At 48.6% G+C, this 20,017-nt stretch overlaps 1 protein-coding gene across 6 annotated transcripts in view, besides 3 other annotated features; it reads right to left on the bottom strand.

The window, feature by feature from the left end:
- Positions 1 to 8,165: 8,165 nt before the first annotated feature.
- The window catches only part of FHDC1 (FH2 domain containing 1), a 68,333-nt gene continuing 56,481 nt past the window's right edge, over positions 8,166 to 20,017 (bottom strand). For all 6 annotated transcript variants that reach the window (XM_047416336.1, XM_011532389.2, NM_001371116.1 and 3 more), the window contains 3 exons: positions 19,740 to 19,857; positions 15,296 to 15,460; positions 8,166 to 13,162 (listed from right to left, as the gene is read on the bottom strand). In XM_047416336.1, the coding sequence (XP_047272292.1) occupies positions 11,114 to 13,162; positions 15,296 to 15,460; positions 19,740 to 19,857 (2,332 nt within the window). In that variant the 3' untranslated portion in view covers positions 8,166 to 11,113. The remainder of the gene's footprint in view (positions 13,163 to 15,295; positions 15,461 to 19,739; positions 19,858 to 20,017) is intronic.
- Positions 13,741 to 14,260: an enhancer, noted in NCBI's record as "H3K4me1 hESC enhancer chr4:153894729-153895248 (GRCh37/hg19 assembly coordinates)". NCBI's record gives its function as "activates a minimal SCP1, AML or CMV promoter by ChIP-STARR-seq in naive H9 embryonic stem cells {active_cell/tissue: H9 hESC(naive)}" and the evidence as "EXISTENCE:reporter gene assay evidence [ECO:0000049][PMID:30033119]".
- Positions 14,261 to 14,781: an enhancer, noted in NCBI's record as "H3K4me1 hESC enhancer chr4:153894208-153894728 (GRCh37/hg19 assembly coordinates)". NCBI's record gives its function as "activates a minimal SCP1, AML or CMV promoter by ChIP-STARR-seq in naive H9 embryonic stem cells {active_cell/tissue: H9 hESC(naive)}" and the evidence as "EXISTENCE:reporter gene assay evidence [ECO:0000049][PMID:30033119]".
- Positions 14,870 to 16,069: an enhancer, noted in NCBI's record as "BRD4-independent group 4 enhancer chr4:153892920-153894119 (GRCh37/hg19 assembly coordinates)". NCBI's record gives its function as "activates an origin of replication core promoter dependent on BRD2, P300/CBP, MED14 and CDK7 cofactors, and independent of BRD4, by STARR-seq in HCT116 cells {active_cell/tissue: HCT116}" and the evidence as "EXISTENCE:reporter gene assay evidence [ECO:0000049][PMID:35650434]".

Raw genomic sequence — 20,017 nt, 5'->3', positions numbered from 1 at the left:
TTCTTTTCAGAATATTTTCTTTGGTTTTTGCATCTACCGATTATGAAACTAATTAGTTACTTTGCTTCAATTTTTGATTGTTGCTATTATAATACAATATGGTAATATTTATAGCAGAAATTGTTTTCATGTGTGTAATATACTTTCTTTTTTTGAGATGGAATCTCGCTCTGTCGCCCAGGCTGGAGTGCAGTGGTGCAATCTCGGCTCACTGCAACCTCTGCCTCCCAGGCTCAAGCGATTCTCCTGCCTCAGCCTCCCGAGTATCTGGGACTACAGGAGTGTGCAACCAAATCCAGCTAATTTTTTTGTTTGCTTTTTTTTAGTAGAGACGGGGTTTCGCCATGTTGGTCAGGCTGGTCTCGAGCTCCTGACCTCAACTGATCCGCCCACCTCAGCCTCCCAAAGTGCTGGGATTACAGGCATGAGCCATCGTGCCCGGCCTTCATTTGTATCAGGCATGAGAATGTAATGTTGCTTTATTTTTATATGCCCTAAGACTTTTTTAAATTAAGGTTTGTATTCTTAGAAAATAGTAGACCCCGCCAGGTGCGGTGGCTCATGCCTGTAATCCTAGCACTTTGGGGCCGAGGCGGGCAGATCACCTGAGGTCGGGAGTTCCAGAGCAGCCTAACCAACATGGAGAAACCCCATCTCTACTAAAAATACAAAATTAGCTAGGTTTGGTGGCACATGCCTGTAATTTCAGCTACTCCAGAGGCTGAGGCAGGAGAATCGCTTGAACCCGGGAGGTAGAGATTGCAGTGAGCCAAGATCATCCCATTGCACTCCAGCCTGGGCAACAAGAGCAAAACTCCATCCAAAAAAAGAAAAGAAAGAAAGAGAAAGAAAAGAAAGAAAGAAAGAAAGAAAGAAAGAAAGAAAGAAAGAAAGAAAGAAAGAAAGAAAGAGAGAAAGAAAGGAAGGAAGAAGAAAGAAAGAAAGAAAGAAAGAAAGAAAGAAGAAAGAAAGAAAGAAAGAAAAATAGAGAGAAGGAAGGAAGGAGAGAGAAAGAAAGAGAAAGAAAGAAACAAAGAAAGAAAGGAGAGAGACAGAAAGAAAAAAGAAAGAAAGAAAAGAAAGAAAATTGTAGACTCACATACATGAAGTTGCAAGAAATACTACAGAGAGATTTTTTATACCCTTCACCTAGTTTCCCCCAATGGCAACATATTGCAAAACCAGAGTACAATCTTACAATCGGGATATTGGCATTGATGCAGTGAAGCTACAGAACATTTCCATCAATACAAGGATCCCTCGTGTCACCCTTTTATAGCCACTACTTTGTTCTCCATTTCTATAATTTTGTTATTCTAAGAATGGCGTACAAATGGAATTATACAGTATGTAACCTCTTGTGATTGGCTTTTCTTCACTCAGCATAATTCTGTGGAAATTAACCCAGGTGTTTGCATGTATCCATAGTTCATTTCTTGCTATTGCTGAGTAGTATTCCATTATATGAATATACCACAGTTTATTTACCCATTGGCCTGTTATAGGGCTTCTGGATTGTTTCTTGTTATTAGCTATTATAGATAAATTTGCTATAAAAGTGTACATGCTTTTGCATGAACTTAGGTCTTCATTTCTCTGGCACATATGCCAAGTCGAACAATTGCTGGGTTTTATGGCTGCATGTAAGAAACTGTCAAACTGCTGTTCATAGGGACTCTACCATTTTCAATTCCCACCAGTCAATGTATGAGTGATCCTGTTTTTCTGCACCTTCTCCAACATTTGATGTTGTCCCTGTTTTTTTGTTTTGTTTTGGTTTGGTTTTTTTTGAGATGCAATCTCACTCCGTTGCCCAGGCTGGAGTATAGTAGTGTGATCTGGGCTCACTGCAACCTCCGCTTCCTAGGTTCAAGTGCTCCTCCCACTGCAGCCTCCTGAGTAGCTGGGACTACAGTTGTGCACCCCGATGCTCGGCTAATTGTTGTATTTTTGGGTAGAGATGGGGTTTCACCATATTGGCCAAACTGGTCTCAAATCCCTGGACTCAAGTGATCTGCTCACCTCGGTATCCCAAAGCATTGGAATTACAGGCGTGAGCCACCTCAACCGGCCTCTCATTGTTTTTTATTTTAGCCATTCTGATAGGTATATGGTGCTATTTGATTGTGATTTTAATCTGCATTTCCCTAATGGATAATGATAATCAGGAGCGTCTTTTCATGTGCTTATTTGCTATCCATATCTCCTCTTTGGTGAAATGATGCCACTCTACTTTTGTGTATCTTCAAATTTCTCCTTGATAAAATGTTTTAAAATGAAAAAAAAAAAAAAAAGGAGAAGAAGAAGAAGACGTATTCGAGCTGGGGTGGAGGACGACTGGGACTCTGAGGAGCCATTAGACAACACAGACCTGAGCACCTCATTTCCAGAATCCCTGCAAGACTCAGCACTTCCAGGAGTCACAGACTTTTCCTAACTCCCACTGTGAATCTGTTATAAGGTGACGGTCCTTGTACTCCAGAGCTCTGCCATGTGGGTGAATCCAAGAGGAATGTACAAATGCTATTCAAGGTGACAGTGGGTCCTACACCTAGGAGCTGCTCAAGAAGCGTTTTTGGGCCGGGCACAGTGGCTCATGCCTATAATCCCAGCACTTTGGGAGGCTGAGGTGGGTGGATCACTTGAGGTCAGGGGTTCGAGACCAGCCTGATCAACATGGTGAAACCCCGTCTCTACTAAAAATACAAAAATTAGTGGGCTTGGTGGCGGGTGCCTGTAATCCCAGCTACTCAGGAGGCTGAGGCAGGAGAATCACTTGAACCTGGGAGGCGGAGGCTGCAGTGAGCCAATATTGTGCCACTGCACTCCAGCCTGGGAGACAGAGTGAGACACTGTCTCAAAAACAAAACAAAACAAAACAAAACACTTTTGATGTGATGATGATGATGATGATGATGATAACCAGGAAGCCTCTTCTCATGGCATGCTAAGGTGCAGCTGGCCTTCCCAGGAGGTGACCCCCATGAGGGACAAGTGGCCTTCAGGGCCTACTTGATCAGCCCAGCAACTGAGTTTGGGGCAGTCATTTCACAAGTTCAAGTATCCCAGTGGAAGGGGCTTTGAGGCCTCCAGCCCAGGGAGGTAGGTAGATGTGCAGCTTTGGCATGAACTCATCCTGACCCTGAGGATTTATCTCTGTTGTGTTTTGGAACAACACAGAATAAGATTAATAACACCACTAGGTTCTTATTAGCCTTTTTTAAGCTTAAATGGTCTTGGCAGCCTCAGTTGCTCACCGTGAAGCATGGTGCCCACACTCTGACTGCCTGGTCATTCTCCTCGTCTTACTCCAGCTCATCAAGGTTCCTCCTGAAAGGGAGGTTCCAGGGCTGAGGACAGTGTCCAGTGACCAGGTGGGCCTCATTCTGGTGCTATCGTTCCAGGAACATTGCCAATGCTAGCCACACGGAACCACTGGTTCACAAGTTCCCCCTTCACAACTCCTGGAAGGAATTCCTCCCTGACAAGTGGGAATGATGTTTGACAAGTGGGAATGATATTTGACAAATGGGAATGACGTTTCACCTCCTGCTTGGTCACTAGGACAGCAGGAATGTGGTGAGTAACTGTGTGCAAAGCCACGAGCTTCTTGGAAGACAAGCTCCAGCCAGAGTTCAACCCATTGTGAGCTGGTTGAGAAAAGCAGGGGCTTGAGAAAGAGCTGAGAACAATTAGACACTTTACCCCGCTGCTTATCTAGTGACTCCAGTTCTATTGTATTGGAGTCGATCTTGAACTTGGGAGTAGGAGGCCCTGTGGGGGTGGGGAAGCTGTTCTGCTGCCTCTGTCTCTCAGCAGTGGTGAAGAAGCCTGCCCTGCAGGGAGCCCACCTCTTCCCTCTCCTCCCTGGGGATGAATCAGCTGGTGGGAACCTCTTGTGCCTTGGGAAAGAAGGAAATAAAGCCAATGGGAAGCTGACGGCTCCACTCAGCCATAGCTGAATGGAGGCACTGTTCTTTCTGCTGAGGCAGCTTCCAAAGCTGAATCATCATTTTCTTTTTTTTCTTTTTTTTTTTTTTAGATGGGGTCTCACTAGGTTTCCCAGGCTGGTCTCAGACTCCTGGGCTCCAAGTAGCTAGGATTACAGGCGTGTACCACTGAGCCTGGCTGAACTATCGTTTTCATTCAAATATAGCTCAAACCCTTCTTCAGCACTTGCCTAGGCTAGCAAGACCGTCCCTGAACGTAGCAAGACTGTCCAGATTCTTCCAACAACCTTGTCAGACTGATGAGCAGCCATTGACAGCACGGGAGTGGGAAAATGGTCAATTATTCTATGCTGGCCACTTTGGAAAGAATCAGGCTCAGTCCTTCTTCCGGGGAGGGTTTCCACATCCTAAAATAGGGTGGGAGCCTGTCTTGCCGCATCCCTTCTTCTGCCTGCATTCTGAGTCAGCACCCTGGAGAGCTGCATCCCACCCCCTTCCTGACCGGTGAGGTCAGGGCAGATGCCGGCCGGCCTGCCTGGCCCCAGCACAGAGCAAGAGGGAAGGAACCAAAGCTGCTAGATGGGGCTCCCAAGGCCCAAGTTGAAGTGATCCTCGTGAAGGCTGTGGAAAGCTCCAACACCCATGAAGTCCAGGGAACAGGGTTCCAAAGAATAGCTTTGCTGAAAAAATTCTTACTGGGGTACTCAGACAGGGGTGTGGCATTGTTCAGCACTTGTTAGTAAAATGCTTCACATACACTAAATTATAATCTGTCCAAAGGGCAGCTATGGCAAGATGCTAGTGAAGTGTCACTTCCAATGTTCCCCCAGGAGCCATTGTTATGGAAGCTCTAATGTTGTGTGACTGAGAGCTCCAGACTCTCGGTGGCCATGCATATGACTGCAAGTCTTTATGTTTTAAGATCTAAGTTAGACCAGCTCCCCAGACTCCTTTGAGGCAGCTCTCCTCTTAATCGGATGCTGAGCTCAGAGTAAATGCTTCTGTCTTGCTTGCTCAGAGTGAAACACACCTACATTGCCTGGACAGAGGCTCTAAGAGGGGTCCAGCATGGAGAACAGCTCATTAGCCTGCATGGGAATCGTGGAATTCTTACCAGTCTGCCTTCTTGCCTCTCTCCAGCTTAGTGGGTCTCAACAGCAGAAGGGAAAATGAATCAGTGGAAAATTGCTAAAGTGAAAATCTGGGGGCCCATCAGAAAGATTCTGGCTTGTGAGTCTGGGGTGGGACTAGGAATCACCACCCCCAAGTAATTCTGCTGTGCGCAGGAGCACTCCATGCTGTGAGTGCCACTGGATGCTCCAACACTGTCAAGTCAGGAGCACCGAGGAAAGCTCACCACCTGCAGTGAACATCCCAGCTCTCACCAAGGTGGCTCACTTCCCCAGCTACCAGCTAGCCTTGGCTCATGGGTCCACGGCCCTGGCCACACAGGTGGCCTCCCCACAGCCTCTGCCACCTTCTCATTAGTTGTCTAGCAGGCTAGGCTGAATCCAGCCTCCCTCCCAGAAAATGAAGGCAGAGGATGTGCACCCTTCTGTTGGCCCAGTGTGCTCTCTGTTAGGAAGAACAGCCAAAAGGCAATTGCAGTTATAGAAATGACCCATGTTTCCTGGAGTTGTCCTGGGAGATGGAAACCCCTGTGTCTGCCTCTGCATTCAGCCCCACCTCAAGAGCAGAGAGATCTTTTCTTCTCCAGCAGTGGAGAGTGGACACCACTCCTCCGGTCACCAGTGCCCTGAAGCTGCAGTGCCTTCACCTCCACTTGATGGCAGGAGGTAGAAGAGAAACATTCCCGGCACTCCTGACCTTTTCCTTCAGGAACACTGCTGTAAGTGAGCTTCTCTTCTGTAGAAATTCCTGTGGTGTAATCTACCCACACCTGGCGTCTTAGGCCGCCTGGGCTGCTATAACAGAATACCATAGACCTAAGGTCTTACAAACAACAGAAATGTATTTTTCACAGTTCTAGAGGCTGGGAAGTTTAAGATCAGAGCACTGACAAACCCAATGTTTGGTGAGAACCCGTTCACGGACGGTCACTTCTTGCTGTGTCCTCACATGGTGGAAGGGATGCTTGCGCGTCCTCGGGCCTTCTTTATAAGGGCATTAATCCCATTCATGAGGGCTCCAGGTCATGACCTAATCACTCCCCAAAAGCCCCACCTCCTAATCCTACCTCCTTGGGGGTTAGGATTTCAACACAGGAATTTGAGGGGGAGCAAACATTCAGACCACAGCGGACAGGTTAAATAGTTTTCTAATGTGCTATCCTGAAAACATACCCATAATGCATGACATGGTTGCTCTGGGAAAGGGCATTCTGAAATCCTCAAATCTCACCGCAAGCAAACTTGGGGAACATCCTCTGCTTGTGAGCTGGGGACTGCCTGCATGACTCAGCCCTTTAGTGTGTTTCTGACGGGGGCAGGGGAAAGCCCAGGACCTGACTCCAGGAGCCTGGCACGACTCCATCAGTGAGAACCTGGAATAGGCATCCTCCCTGAAACGCCCAGGTGCCTCCCTCCACAGCTCATAGTCAGGGATGTCAGGCTTCTGGTGGGCCCTTGGTAAAGGGTCTGTGAATGAACAACTATGAATGCTGCTTGCGGCCAGTCCAATTGTCCTACCTACCAATCAGGAAGCCAAAAGCCCCATTGCAGAGCTCTGGCCCAGCAGACAGAAAAGCCGTTTTCTTCAACTACCACGTTACTCTTGTCTTCACTTAGGAGATCCAGTGAGCTGTGGGACATCCAAACCGGGAGATATTAGTGGACGAAAAGCCCTGAGGAGCGGGTGCTCTGGGTTGTGTTTTCCACCCTGCCGCAGATTCGGCCTGAGCTATGCATTCTTTCCCCACAGATGCTGAGCAGGGTGATTTTGCAGAGACCCCGGTGCCCCAGTTTGTTTGTGCTCACAGCCCAAATAATTTTAAGCAGCACTTAATGAGTGATCAGATGCAATGTCCTTTATTCAAATTTGGTTTATACATTTGATGATTATATGTGTTTGGGGACACGCACCAAAAAAATTCTCTCTTCTATTTTTCTGACAGGGTTGGAGCATGCAGCAAAAATATAATGATGAATTAAGTTTAAGTTTCAATGGAAAATTCTGTAAAATTGCAAAATGTCATCATTGCCATACGGGGGGAGCTAGGGAAAGGATACTGCACCCTTAGAGGCAGAAATTCACAAATGTACACACCCCCGAAGGTGGATTAATAGTTCTTCCAAAGTCTTCTGGGGTCCCTCACCCTAACACATAAATATGCAGTCTTGAATGAACAATTAGGAGATGGTGGCCCCTTTAATTTAATGAATTTCTTTAGGAGGATGAAGCCACAGATTCTTTATGAAAGCCATAAAATAAAAGGGAAGGAGAAATGGAAGATTACTTGAGACCCATTAGAAAAATAAAAAGCTTTCTTGGTGGGGGGACGGGGGCAGTACATGTCAGTAATCCCTTGAGCAGCAGGACTGAAGGTTTAGGGAGGAGTCTGGTGTCCCAAACTGCTTATAACACAGACAAGACCAACTTCCACATGTTCAGGGAGCAAGCAGCAACTCCCAACAAGAACATAATTTACTCTCATCTGCTGATTCTGACCCAGGGATGTTCCTCTAGCCCACTTCAGATAAAGCAGGCAAGTAGCTAGGACTGAAACATGACATAATCCGAGGTATGAGGTGTATCTGAGGCACAATCGCCACTCCTTTTCAAATATGCACAATGCCGGTCATATCAAGCCATCTCTCCCTCCTCTCTGCTCATTCCTGAGTCAGCCATGAGGTGAGTTGTGATTTCCTAATGGTGTCCTGAACCAAAATGCAGGACACCCAGGACACCATTTAGACTTGCCAGGCCCACGGAGATGACAAAAAACTCAGCTCAGCATGGAATAACGTGAGCTGCGCACTTCATCGACAGCCTGCGTGTCAGAGGCGGGGTTACATCCCCACGGCCTGGGGCAAGGCCCACTCCCTAAGCCCTCAATTATGAGCAGGTTCTGTGCTATCAAGAAGACACACAGCCAACAGCCTCATTTAGGCTCTTGAGCCTTTGGAGGACAAGTCAGCTGTATCCCAACCCTCCCTAGCCTCCTGGATCTCTGCTTCTCTCTGGGCAGGAAATTGAATACTCTCCCAGCAAGATCACACAGACACATCCATGGAAGAAGCTGAGATGAAACATGACTCTCATAAACAGGAACTTTATTAAACTACATGTTACATAAAAGAACATATAAATGGACCATTAAATACATTCAGTTTATTTTAAACAAATTTACATAGATACTTATTTACATTTCTCCATTGTATTCTTAAATTATTTTTCCAAGCTTACTACCGATAAAAGGTAATACAATGATCATCTGCTCACACAGATGCATAGAGAAGTTGTCCACAGGGCTAAGTAAAGCACCACTTCCCAGGAAACACAGCTTATTAGATCTTCCAGCAACAACTCATGCTGAAGGTGCTCTCTTCTGAGCAGCCCTTGAGGTGAGGCTTTTGCTTTAGAGATGCTGGGGGTTGGTTCTGAGGAGCTGACCCAGGGCAGAGATGGGTCCTTGCTGATTGACCTGACTTGGACTCACAGAGGTGGAAAGACCTGTGGAGACCATCATCGAGGCCATGGCCCCACATCTGTGATATGGGAAACAGGCTTGGGAAGAGGTGGTGACTTCCCAAAGTCACCCAGCATCCATGATAGAGGAAGGGCCTGGGAGCTTGGTACCCAGGGTTCCTCCAAGAGGTCCCGATCCCTCTGCTATCCACAAATCCACAAACTTAGAATCACTTGCATCCATTTTCCACCACCATGGACCTTATGCTTTGAACTGTTTTGTCTACCTGATTAAATATATAACTTCTTAGGCTTCTTGAGATGGTGAAAAGCAGCTCAGGATTCCCATAAGCAACTTTGTGGAGCCCTGGAAATACCTACTCAGGGCTGTTTTTACAAGAGGTTTTGTGGTCAGGTGCTTTACTATTTCAGCCATAACGTTTACCTTTAAAACTCAGCTGACTTATGGAAGCTCAGCATTTCCAATTCGCTTAGATGACAGGCAACAGTCTGCAGAAGGGAGGTTCTAACGTCAACCACGTGGATTCCCCACAAACGCATCATATTTGCCTAAATCCATCTATCTACCAATGTCAGATCTAAAATGAGGTTTCACTAATAAGTGACCTAAAATTAAAAAAAACACAAAAAAGTTTCTTAAAAAAAAAATTCCAAGAATTTCCCCGTTTCCCAATTAGTCTCAGAGGAGTCGTGAAATGGGCATTGGGTAGAAAAAGTCCCATGTTTTCAACTGTTTCTTTTGAATAAAGCCTGATTCCCCCACTCTGCCCCCGAACTTTTCCCGATGATATACATTCTTCTGAAAGCAATTTCATGCTTTTAGTCTGCTTTAAAAAACCTGACTTGGTTCTTCTCAGTATTTAAAAACCACTGTACCAAGGAAGAGATGTCCACGTTAAAAACTATTATTAAGAGACAGAGACAAGGAGAGAGAGACTCTCTCCAGGCCATGTTAGAAAAGAAGGAAGTGCTGGGAGCACACAAAGAGAGAAGAAAGGCTGGGAGACAGAATGGTTTGCACCTCCCTGTAACCAGAGTGAACACAGGTCATAGCAGCCTTCACTCAGTTTTATAACAGACACACGAATGGAGGAACATGGGATTGGAAAGACGCACACTGTCAAACAGCCCTGATGCCTTTCCACTAAAATATGGCACTTCTAGATTCCAGAGAAATCCAGCATTCTACCAGGGGCTGCCACCCATCTGCAGGGAAGCCTGCCCTGCAACCATGAGGCCCTCAAGGCTCATACTCCACTGCTCACAATGCGCGCCCTGAATACATGGAAGCATCTGATTTCTGTCTGAGTCCAACTTTCCCTCCTGTTCCTAGACAGACTCACACCCAGAGTCATGCACGGAGAAGTGGGCAAGCCAGACAATCTTCAGGGAGACACAGCCCATCACAGGATACCCAAGGCTTATGGGGAAGTCCAGTTGCCAGCAACGGACCCTGTGTGGGCAGGTGAAACTCTGAAGCCAGAGAACACAGGAAGATAAAAATATCTTCATACTGAGGATATACTGGCCAAGTGTGGTGGCTCACACCTGTAATCCCAGCACTTTGGGAGGCTGAGGTGGGAGGATCACTTGAGCCCAGGAGCTCGAGATCAGCCTGAGCAACATAGTGAGATCCCATCTCTACAAAAGATAAATTAAAAAAAAACAATTAACCAGGCGTGGTGGTGCACGCCTGTAGTCCCAGCTCTGAGGGAGGCTGAGGTGGGAGGATCACTTGGGTCTGGGAGGTCAAAGCTGCAGTGAGCTATGATTGTGCCACTGCAGTCCAGTCTGGGAGACAAGAGCACGACCCTGTCGCAAAAAAATACATATGTATTTTTTTCCTGGGAGGCATTTCACTCTGCAAAAGGAACCAAAACTAGAACATTTCATTTTTGTTTTGTTTTGTTTGAGACAAGGTCTCACTCTGTCATCCAGGCTGGAGTGCAGTGGTGGGGTCCTGGGCTCAAGTGACCTTCCCATCTCAGCGTTCAGAGTGGCTGGGGCCACAGGCATGTGCCACCACACTCGGCTAAATTTTGTATTTCTGATAGAGACGGGGTTTCTCCATGTTGCCTAGGCTGGTCTCGAACTCCTAGGCTCAAGCAATCCACTCATCTTAGCCTCCCAAAGTGCTGGATTACAGGCATGAACCACTGCACCTAGCTAATTTTTATATTAAAAAGAAAGTCTTTGATATATAAAAACTGGCCTGAAAAAAACTTTTTTGACTTGTTTCATAAGAATGTCACTTTACACTCCTACTAAATCTTTCTCGGGATCCGGGCTTTGGGGGAGGGTGGGGTGCATGGGGGAGGTGCGGCCGTCACAGTAGTGAACGTGCATCCATCTGGACGCTGGACTGCAGCAGGGCTCAGCACAGCAGGCTGCAGTCCACAGGCCTCCTGGACTGTGCCATCCCAACAGCGTCACTAGCAGTGGCACCAGTGGCTGCTTTATCTGTAACAAAGACATGCTGCCTCTTTCCCCATCCTCGTCCCAGAAGTCAGTCTTCACCGTCTGAATCCCAGGAGGCAGGAGAGGACAGGCACCCATCACTTCCGTAAGGGATTGAGGATTCTCCCCAGCGTGGTCCGACTGGAGTCCTTCCGACGGAGGGAGGCCCTTTCCCCAGCCCCTCTGGCCTTCAGAGGGGCCTCCGTGTTGGCACTGGGACCCTCCGCAGACTCTGGGCGCTTCTTGGGGGCCCGGGCACTGCTGGCTCGCCTCAAAGTGCTGCTGTCCTTGGGAGCGGCATCCTCGGGGTCCCCTTTCACCCTCAGCTGCCGCTGCGACACTGTCCGAGTGATGCCGGGGGCTTTGGCCACGGGAGGAAGATCTGTTCTCATGCTTCGAGAGGAGGAGGCCACTGTGTTCCGGGCAAAGCTCGGGACACGGGGTAGTTCGTGGGGGACGCTGGGCACTGACGGGGTCTTGGGCTCTTCTTTGGGACTCTCAGGGCCCTCGGAGTGGGCGCGGCAGGTCTTATTTTCCTCAGGCTTCTGTCTGGGGAGGTTCCTGAGTGGTTTGGCACTGGGCTTCTTGAAAGAACCCCTGGGCTGCAGGGGAACGTCCCTCCCCGGACGGGTGCTGCTGGAGCCGCTGCTCCCCCGCGGCAGCCTCTGCTCTTCGGCGCCTGTGGAGGCCCTCCGCACGGAGTTCTGGCGTGACCACACAGTATCTGTGCTGCTGGGGGGATTCTGGGAGGGCCCCCGGGATGACAGCTCTGGTCGCCTCCAGCCGGCGCCTCTGCTGGACTTGGTGATGGGCATGACCTTGCGCATGCTCTCGTTCTCTGAGGCGGTCAGGGTCCGCACAGACTTGGCCACTGCCCCCTGGCTCCGCCGGGCGCTCCCGGGCTTGGAGGCCCCGGGAGACGCCTCTTTCAGGGAGCCTCTCTTTGGTGCTACAACATCTTTCCTTTTGGTGGGTTTGTCCCTGGGCAGGCCGCCCTTGCAGCTGGGCTCACTATCCACAGAGACGGGGGCAGGAGCCTCCCCAGGGGGGCTGGATGTAGGGTTGGAGGAGACTTGGCTGTCCCCCATTTCTCCAACCCCAGAGGACATGGAGCCATCCCCTTCCCCGCCTTCCTCCGGGTCCCCGCCTCTGGGTCTGGAGTCGGTTCCCTCTGAGCAGTCCAGGGTCAGTGAGCAGTCGGTGGTGTCCGAGATGCAGAACAGAGGTCTAGGATCTTTGTTCTCAGGGTCGCTGCTACCCACAGATCCCAAAGCTGCACTTCCAGGCTCATCGGGGGCAGCCTTGCCATCCTCCAGCGCTGGGCTGAGACTCCCCAGGGCATCTCTGCCCATGGGTGTCAGGCTGCTGCTGCTGGCACTGAGGGACTGCGGGCCCCTATGCCCCACAGACTCTAGCTCCATCGGGCTGAAGTCACTCAGAGTCAGCTGGGAGGTCTCCTCCATGCCCTGGGAACCCTGGAGGTTGAACTGGGCCAGCCCTGTCACCAGCTCATGCTCCTTAATTCCCAGAGCCAATGGCGAGAGAGGAGGGGACTGTGCTGAGCCCAGGCTCACCGGCTCACTGTACCTCTTTCGGAGGACACTGACGCCCTGGCGCCGAGCTCTGGGGAAGGCAGAGGCATGGTTCTCAGGCTGGGCGGCTGCAAGCTGGTGCGCCTGTGCTGAGGGTGGGTTGGGGGCCTCCTCCTGGCCCCCCGAGGCCTGAGGTTTGTGTGCAAAGCTGGAGTCCTGGTGCCTCACTTCTGCAGGCTCCAGGCAGGCTATCGTGGGCCGGGCCTGCCGGGGGCTGCTCCGGGGCAGGCTGTGGAACTTATTGGGCTCCTCAGGGCTGCCGGTGGAGCTCTCCAAGAAGGTCAGCAGCTCCCGGTCAGCAGAGGGACCCAGGGAGAGGCGGGAGCGGCGGGTGTTCGGGGGCCGGTAGGAGGGGCTGGAGGGGCTGATGGGCCTGGGGTGCAGGAAAGGGAGCAGGCCCTCTGCACCCTTCTTGGTCAGCAGCTCCACATCATTCTCACTGCTGCTCCGGCCAAATGCCCCCAGCTCCCCAGTTGCCCAGGAGCGCTGCTTCTGCTCCTGCTCCTTCAGCCTCTGCAGCTGCCTCAGCTCCTGCGCCTCCCGGTCGTGGTTGTCCTGAGGGATGGAGAGAAGCCCGAAGATGCATGAGACATGTGGGACCAATGTGCAGTTCCAGAGCCACCTACGCTAAGAGCCAAAGAAAGATACAGGCATGGAGGGGAGCTCAGGGTCATGTCTTACACTGAGAAAGAGGCTGTGTGTGTGCACATGCATGTGTGTGTGTGTACGCATGTGTGTGTGTGTAGAGGGAGGGTGAGGCTCTTCAAAGCTACTAGGGATCTGAGCAGAAGGGGTGAGTGCTGTAGACCTGGCCCAACAATCTGTCTACAGTTTTTATCCGATCCTTGGGCCCAACTTCCAGCTTTCCAGCCAAGGCACTGCTCAGTGGAGGCTGCCATTCCACATAAGCATGCGACCTCAACTCCAAGGAAAGCCAACTCTGTTTCTGAGCAGTATAAGACACAGAGGACTTCCAGGAAAGGGCTATATAGGCAATAGCTGAGAAAAATACTGTGGGTATTTAAAGAGCGAGCCTCAAATTGTACTTCTGTGCAGCATGGATCTGTCCTACACACATTCATGTGTAGCACATTCTACTTAACAGTGATTTGGATGTATTAATGTATAGCCACAATATTAAGAGATGCTCTGTTCAGCTCTGTTCCCTGACTGCTCCTTGGTAAAGCAACACCACACGTGGCATGGTGGCTCTGCCAGCTGCAGCCTGCAGCACATGGCTCTGCCTCTCACGTCCTAGCCTGTTCCCACAATCAGAGAAGAGGAAGAGGAGGAGGTGTGCTTTACAAATCTTTCAACCTTCACCCTGCTCCAGAGAACCCAGCCCTTCCCATCGAAACTGCACCAGAGCAAGCTCACATACCAAAGCACACTCTACCACCTGGCCATGCACTTTAAATAGATTTGTGTCATGGAAATATGTGGATCTCACAGCCCAAATGTGTTATTGTTAGCAGTTTTACTTGACAATCAATTTCCTCCAATGATGGCCTTTCCCTTCCAAGTTTCTGTGGGGCTCTAGCCGGGGACTCTTGGCTCCGCCTGCAGCTCTGGCCTCAGCCTCCCACCTCGTCCCCAAGTCTCTCGGGCCTTCTTTAAAGATTGCCTGTGGTGGTGGTGGGGCCGGTGCCTGGCTCTTTGGACAGTGGGGCTGAGAGCATCACACAGGTGGCCTCACAGGCCTATGGAATTCCTGGGAGTGAGGGCCTCATTAAGAGCCAACTTGGCCTTGACACCCACCACTGCCTCCCACAGCTGAGCTCACTTCTTGGCCAGAGGAGTGCAAACGTGGCCACAGGCTGAGCCTCCTTCTCTTAACTGGATAGAGAAAGGAGGGGTCGAGAACACAAAGCAATTCTGGGCTTGAGAGAAATCTGACCAATCCCTCAAAGAAATTCAGCTATGGACTAAGCTGCATTCCAACTGGAGGGGGAGAGATGACTCACGAGCTTTGCTTCCTCAACACCACCCGAAATGAAGGGATGTGAGTGGCCGGTTTGCTTTCAATTGATGAATTAAAGTTTTACTTGAAAGCCAAGCAACCCAGAGAGTTTTCTGGCTTCTACATTAAACCCAGAGATGACTGGAATTGGTGGTTGAAGGGCAAGAAAGGTAGCTGTCTTGCTCAGTATGGCAGCAGGCTTTGTGGTTATTTGGGAATCTGGAAGACCGCTCTGGGGAGGACCACATGGTTGCCCTGGTGCCAATCCCACAGTGACGGCAGCAGAGCTTGGAAGAAGGGAAAGGGAGGGCCGTTCCATCATCCCACCACAACAGAAGTCTCCCTGGAAGAGGACGTTCTCTTCTGGGAGCGGGAGAGAAAGACATTCAGGATCTTCAAGAGACTTTTAAATGGTATGACAGCCATCATGGAGGAACTTTACTAACAAAATGCTCTCAAGGCATTAATGTGAGTGTCAGGGAGCCTGTGCACCAAAGTAGCAGAGGCAGTCAAATGCCTCCCCCTGATGCTATGCAAGCCCTCGGGGCTGGGATGGCAGAGCCACTTTCCAGCAATCCCAGCCGAGAGCCTGGCAATACCACCTGGGCCAGATGTCCCCGAAACCGTGGAGATGCAAAGTGCCTTTCTGTGGTGAGCAGATGACTAGGTCGAGAAGAAGGAAAATAAAAATCCAAACAACCCCAAGACACAGATGCTGCCAGATGTACCTTAACTGCTTTGTTGAATTTGGTACAGAAATCTCTAAATATCTGAAAGCATTCATCCAGTTTCATGGTTTTTTTGTCTTCACAGAAAAAATCTATAAGGGTGTAGGCCTCATCCTGGAGCTCTTGTTTCCAGCATTCCAGTTCCCTCAGCTTTTCTATGGCAAACTGCGGAAAAACAAACGAACACACACTGAGGTAAACGTTGTCAGCTGAGGCGGCGCTGGGCACTGCATCCGGTGCCCAGAGAAGACGTGCTCTGGGGTTTCATTTCAGGTCTTGGAAAAGGAAGGTTTATTGCAAGGCCAATGCAATCAGAGCCAAAAGGAAAATAATTCAACCCAGAACAAACCTCGGGGAAAGCAAGGTGAAGTCCCGTGTGAGACCTAGACTAAGCAACAAGATAGATTTAAGAACTTTAACCTGCAGAACGTCACTAACAAAATGTTCACTTTTAATGTCACTGAAAAAAATTACACAGGTATACAACTGGTTTTTACCAAGGAAGATCCATTTTGCATCTGTTCTTCTTCCTCTTAAAATTGAGTCTTACACTGGTCAAGAGTTTACTTTAGGGTCCCTGAAGCTACTCGCTCTACTGATGCATTATCAATTTTGCCCCACTGAGAGGGTGTCTAAGCTTAATCCCAAATGAGCTCTGTGAGGGTCAGGGTCACCCCCACAGGACCAAAACCCTCGTGCCTAAACCCGGGGTGCTGATCCAAGTCAGCTGGGAAGCTTGGCAACAGGCCATGCCTGTATTCCTCCCGTTCGATTTCACAGGTTTGGGGTGGACCCAACACTAATATTTTCTGAAAGCACCACCCCAGGAGATTCTGATGGGTCCCAATGGCTAGGCATTACTGTCCTTTACAAAACCACCCTCTTTGCTTCTTCATTTTCTCCTAATTCTTCTAGGACAAATAAGTCTCTGAGGCCCCTGTGCATTCTGGTACTGCCTCAACACAGAGATGGGAAGAAAGGAAGCTTGTTTTCCTCCAATGATTTCCAAGGCCTTCAGCATGGAATCTGCCATGTCCAAGGGTCACACACACTTCCCCGATGGCAGTTCAGTGACAACATGGGGAGCTGCATGAGGAAGCAGTATGGTGCGGAGAAAAAGGGCTCCACAGCAGCCACAGCCCATGAGAATGAACATTTGGAATCACACTGAAGTCTTATGTTGAGACCTGCAGGGTCTCACTCCATTACCCAGGCTGGAGTACAATGGTGTGATCATGGCTCACTGCACCCTTGACCTCCTGGGCTCAAGCAATCCTCCCACCTCGGCCTCCTGAGTAGCAGGGACTATAGCTATGCACCACTACACCCAGTTAATATTTAAATATTTTGTAGAGACAGGGTTTCCCTATGTTTCCCAGGAAGGCCTCACGCCATCCTCCCACCTCAGCCTCCCTAAGTGCTGGGATTACAGGGGTAAGCCACTGAGCCTAGCCTATGTTGCTTCCTTGTTTACTGGGAAATAATGGTTATATGAAGAAGGAATGAATGAAGTATGTTACTTTATGAAATCACATGTATCATGTTTTTAAAAAAGGTTATATTTGAAAACATTTTTTGAGTGAAGTGGGGATGGGCTGGGAAATGGTAAAGCTAAAGTTGCCCACTTTGGAGGGGTAGAACTGCTGTTTGAACCTGTGTGGAGAGCTACAGAACCTACAGGGAAATTCTGTGAAGACGCCACCTATTACCCACTCCAACCCACTTTCCCCCTTAAAAGCCCTTCTCTTAAACCAAACACACTCAAGAGGTAGTAAGAAACGAAAACTATGTAGGAAACCAAATACCAGAGAAAGTAACCACCTGAGTCAGTAGCCCAAGGCAGTGTGTGCATTCATGCTGTATTTTTCTTTATGGAGGAATGGTATTAATGAAAGGATAAATCTTTGCCTGTCATTCTTCCACAGGGGGAAAGATGGATTCCAGCCAAGAACAGCTCAACTGCAGAAAAATAGGCCTCTTGACAAGAATCTACATGGGAGCTCAGCTCCACCTCGTATGTTTCATCTCTAGATCCTGTGGGGATTGACAGAGTACCAGGAAGGAAAATCTTAAACACACTGAAGTCACCCTTTGGACTTGGGAAAATGAAACATTCTGAATGTGGATCTGAACAGTAACCACACTTGAAGTTACCGGGCAGGAGTTCTACATGATTAGGGCCAGAAATGGAAAAGTTCAAAGCTACACTGGCAAAGCAAGAATGTCAACAGGTTAGCAGCTGTAGTGTCCAAGTCAACCTTACATCTCTAACTTGCCTGCTACACACTGAAGTTTCAAACAAGTTTACTCAGTATTTCTTACCCCAAGGGTGAAAATGCTGAAATAGATCTGCAAAAATGTGTTCCTGTTATTTTTCTGCTCTGAATCCTTGAAGAGTTCCCCACTTCTTATGGCATAGAGTTTGAGTCCAGCATTCAGACTGGTGTTCAGAGACCTGAGTGCCCTGACCCTGACCTACCTCGAAAAATTTTATCTCACCTATTCAAAAGGAAGTTGAATTTAAGAAAGAAAAGTATGCAGCTGTATGAAACGTTTTACTTATAGAGATAAAAATGACTGGGTTGGCGCAGTGGCTCATGCCTACAATCCCAGCACTTTGGGAGGTGGGCGGATCACGAGGTCAGGAGATTGAGACCATCCTGGCTAACACGGTGAAACCCCATCGCTACTAAAAATACAAAAAATTAGCCTGGTGTGGTGACATGCGCCTGTAGTCTCAGCTGCTCAGGAGGCTGAGGGAGGAGACTCACCTGAACCCAGGAGGTGGAGGTTGCAGTGAGCCGAGATCGTGCCACTGCACTCCAGCCTGGGTGACAGGGTGAGACTCTGTCTCGGGAAAAAAAAAAAAAAAAAAACGACTGCCAGAAAGAAGTGTAAAGGGTTAAAACAAGACTGACTATGAAAAGCAGTCCAGAGGTGAGGCTAAGTCAGAGCTGTTCTTCATCCTAAGCTTCTCTGTGTGAATATTGACTGAGATGGTAATAGTTAATATGAGAACTTGGAGGAATGAAACATCCAGAATTTTAGTCTTGATGTGCAATGGTCCTTATTCTTGATTTTCCGGATTTGTTTAATGCATTCGTTTACTGTTCAGTATTTTTGTGGTATTGGTGGTGGTGTTTGTAACAAGAAAATTAGTTTGGTTTTACTTGAAGGAAAATACAGAGCACATGTTTAATAATAAAAATAAACTCACAGCAGAGCCAAACAAAATCAAGCATCCGCCGAAGGCCATAATATTTTGAAGGAGCTGAATTAAGAAGCGAAGGCTTCAGCTGGCACAACCTCAGGAGCACACTGTTCCTCCCCAGTGCCAAGGGCAGCCCTGCTACATGATTCCACCTCACAGGTCTCAAAACACTAACAACACTTCAGGTAGCATAGCCTTTCGCTGAAGACTAAAAGCATGAGATGGTGCCTTTTTTTTTTTTTTTAATAAGGAAGATAAAAGAAGTATGTCAGACTATGCGATTAGTGAGTCACAGTGAGCTGTCACAAACATGTCCACTCTGCTGTTTTTTGTTGATGTTATTTGGAGCAGCTCCCGACACACCCTGTGGGCCCTGCGTACTCCTGGTGTTGACGGGCACAGCTCTCATGTGTTCTGCTGCTCTCATTATAAAACATGCCAAAACGCAGCTTGTTTCTTCAACATAAACAAGTGAAGAAATGACAGCCCAAGTTCTAAGGCATCTTGATTTCTGTGGAACTTTGTTCTGTTATCCGAAAGTTTAACTGGTTTAGAAACAAAACTTGAGTTGCCAGGTATAGCCCAAGTGCAACTCCATGGCTGATACCAGTTCACCACAGTAAACTGCAATCGTGCAAACTGAGCAGTGAACAACAGGAGCCTCGCAGAAGCACTGTCCCTAAACAAATACATCAGGCTTGGGCTGGGCGCGGTGGCTCACACCTGTAATCCCAGCACTTTGGGAGGCCCAGTGAGTGCGGATCACCTGAGGTCGGGAGTTTGAGAGCAGCCTGGCCAACATGGCAAAACCGCGTCTCTACTGAAAAAATACAAAAATTAGCCAGGTGTGGTGGTGCATGCCTGTAGCCCCCAGCTACTCGGGAGGCTGAGGCAGGAGAATTGCTTGAACTAGGGAGGCGGAGGTTGCAGTTTGCCGAGATCGCACCATTATACTCCAGCCTGGGTGACAGAGCAAGACTCCCTCTCAAGACAAACAAACAAACAAGTCAAACAAACGAAGAGACAAAAAAAAAAAATATATCAGGCTTAGATCACATTTAACATCCTCTGCAAAGAATGGGCATGGAAATACCAAGTTCCTCTGACTAACTTGGAGAAAAAAAATATGAATGGGAACTGCTGCTTCCACAAATACACCCATGCAAATTTAACCAGCCCCGGGGTGCTGCTGGGAGATGAGATTAGAGGGACTGACTTGAGTCACCTACAAACCTGAAGAAAATCTTCCATCTGCTGACAAAGTTCACCATCCCGCTGGATGTTTTCTTTTAGTGATTTTGTCCTGACAAACAGCAAGTGCAGTTCTGCCTCCGTGTTCTCCAGAGATAATCTAAAAGAAGAAAGGGGAGAGTGGGCAGTTGGAACAAGGAAGCCATGTGTCATGTAGGTATATTAAATAAGACTAACTGTTGTTCAACCTTGGAAACAGAAGGGGAGAGCTACTGTGATGATATTTATCTACCCCTGTATTTAGATCTTTTGTGTTTCCT

This window comes from Homo sapiens, chromosome 4 (assembly GCF_000001405.40).
Source record: "Homo sapiens chromosome 4, GRCh38.p14 Primary Assembly".
Classification (NCBI taxonomy): Eukaryota; Metazoa; Chordata; class Mammalia; order Primates; family Hominidae; genus Homo; species Homo sapiens.
This window is presented reverse-complemented; position numbering and strand designations above follow the sequence as displayed.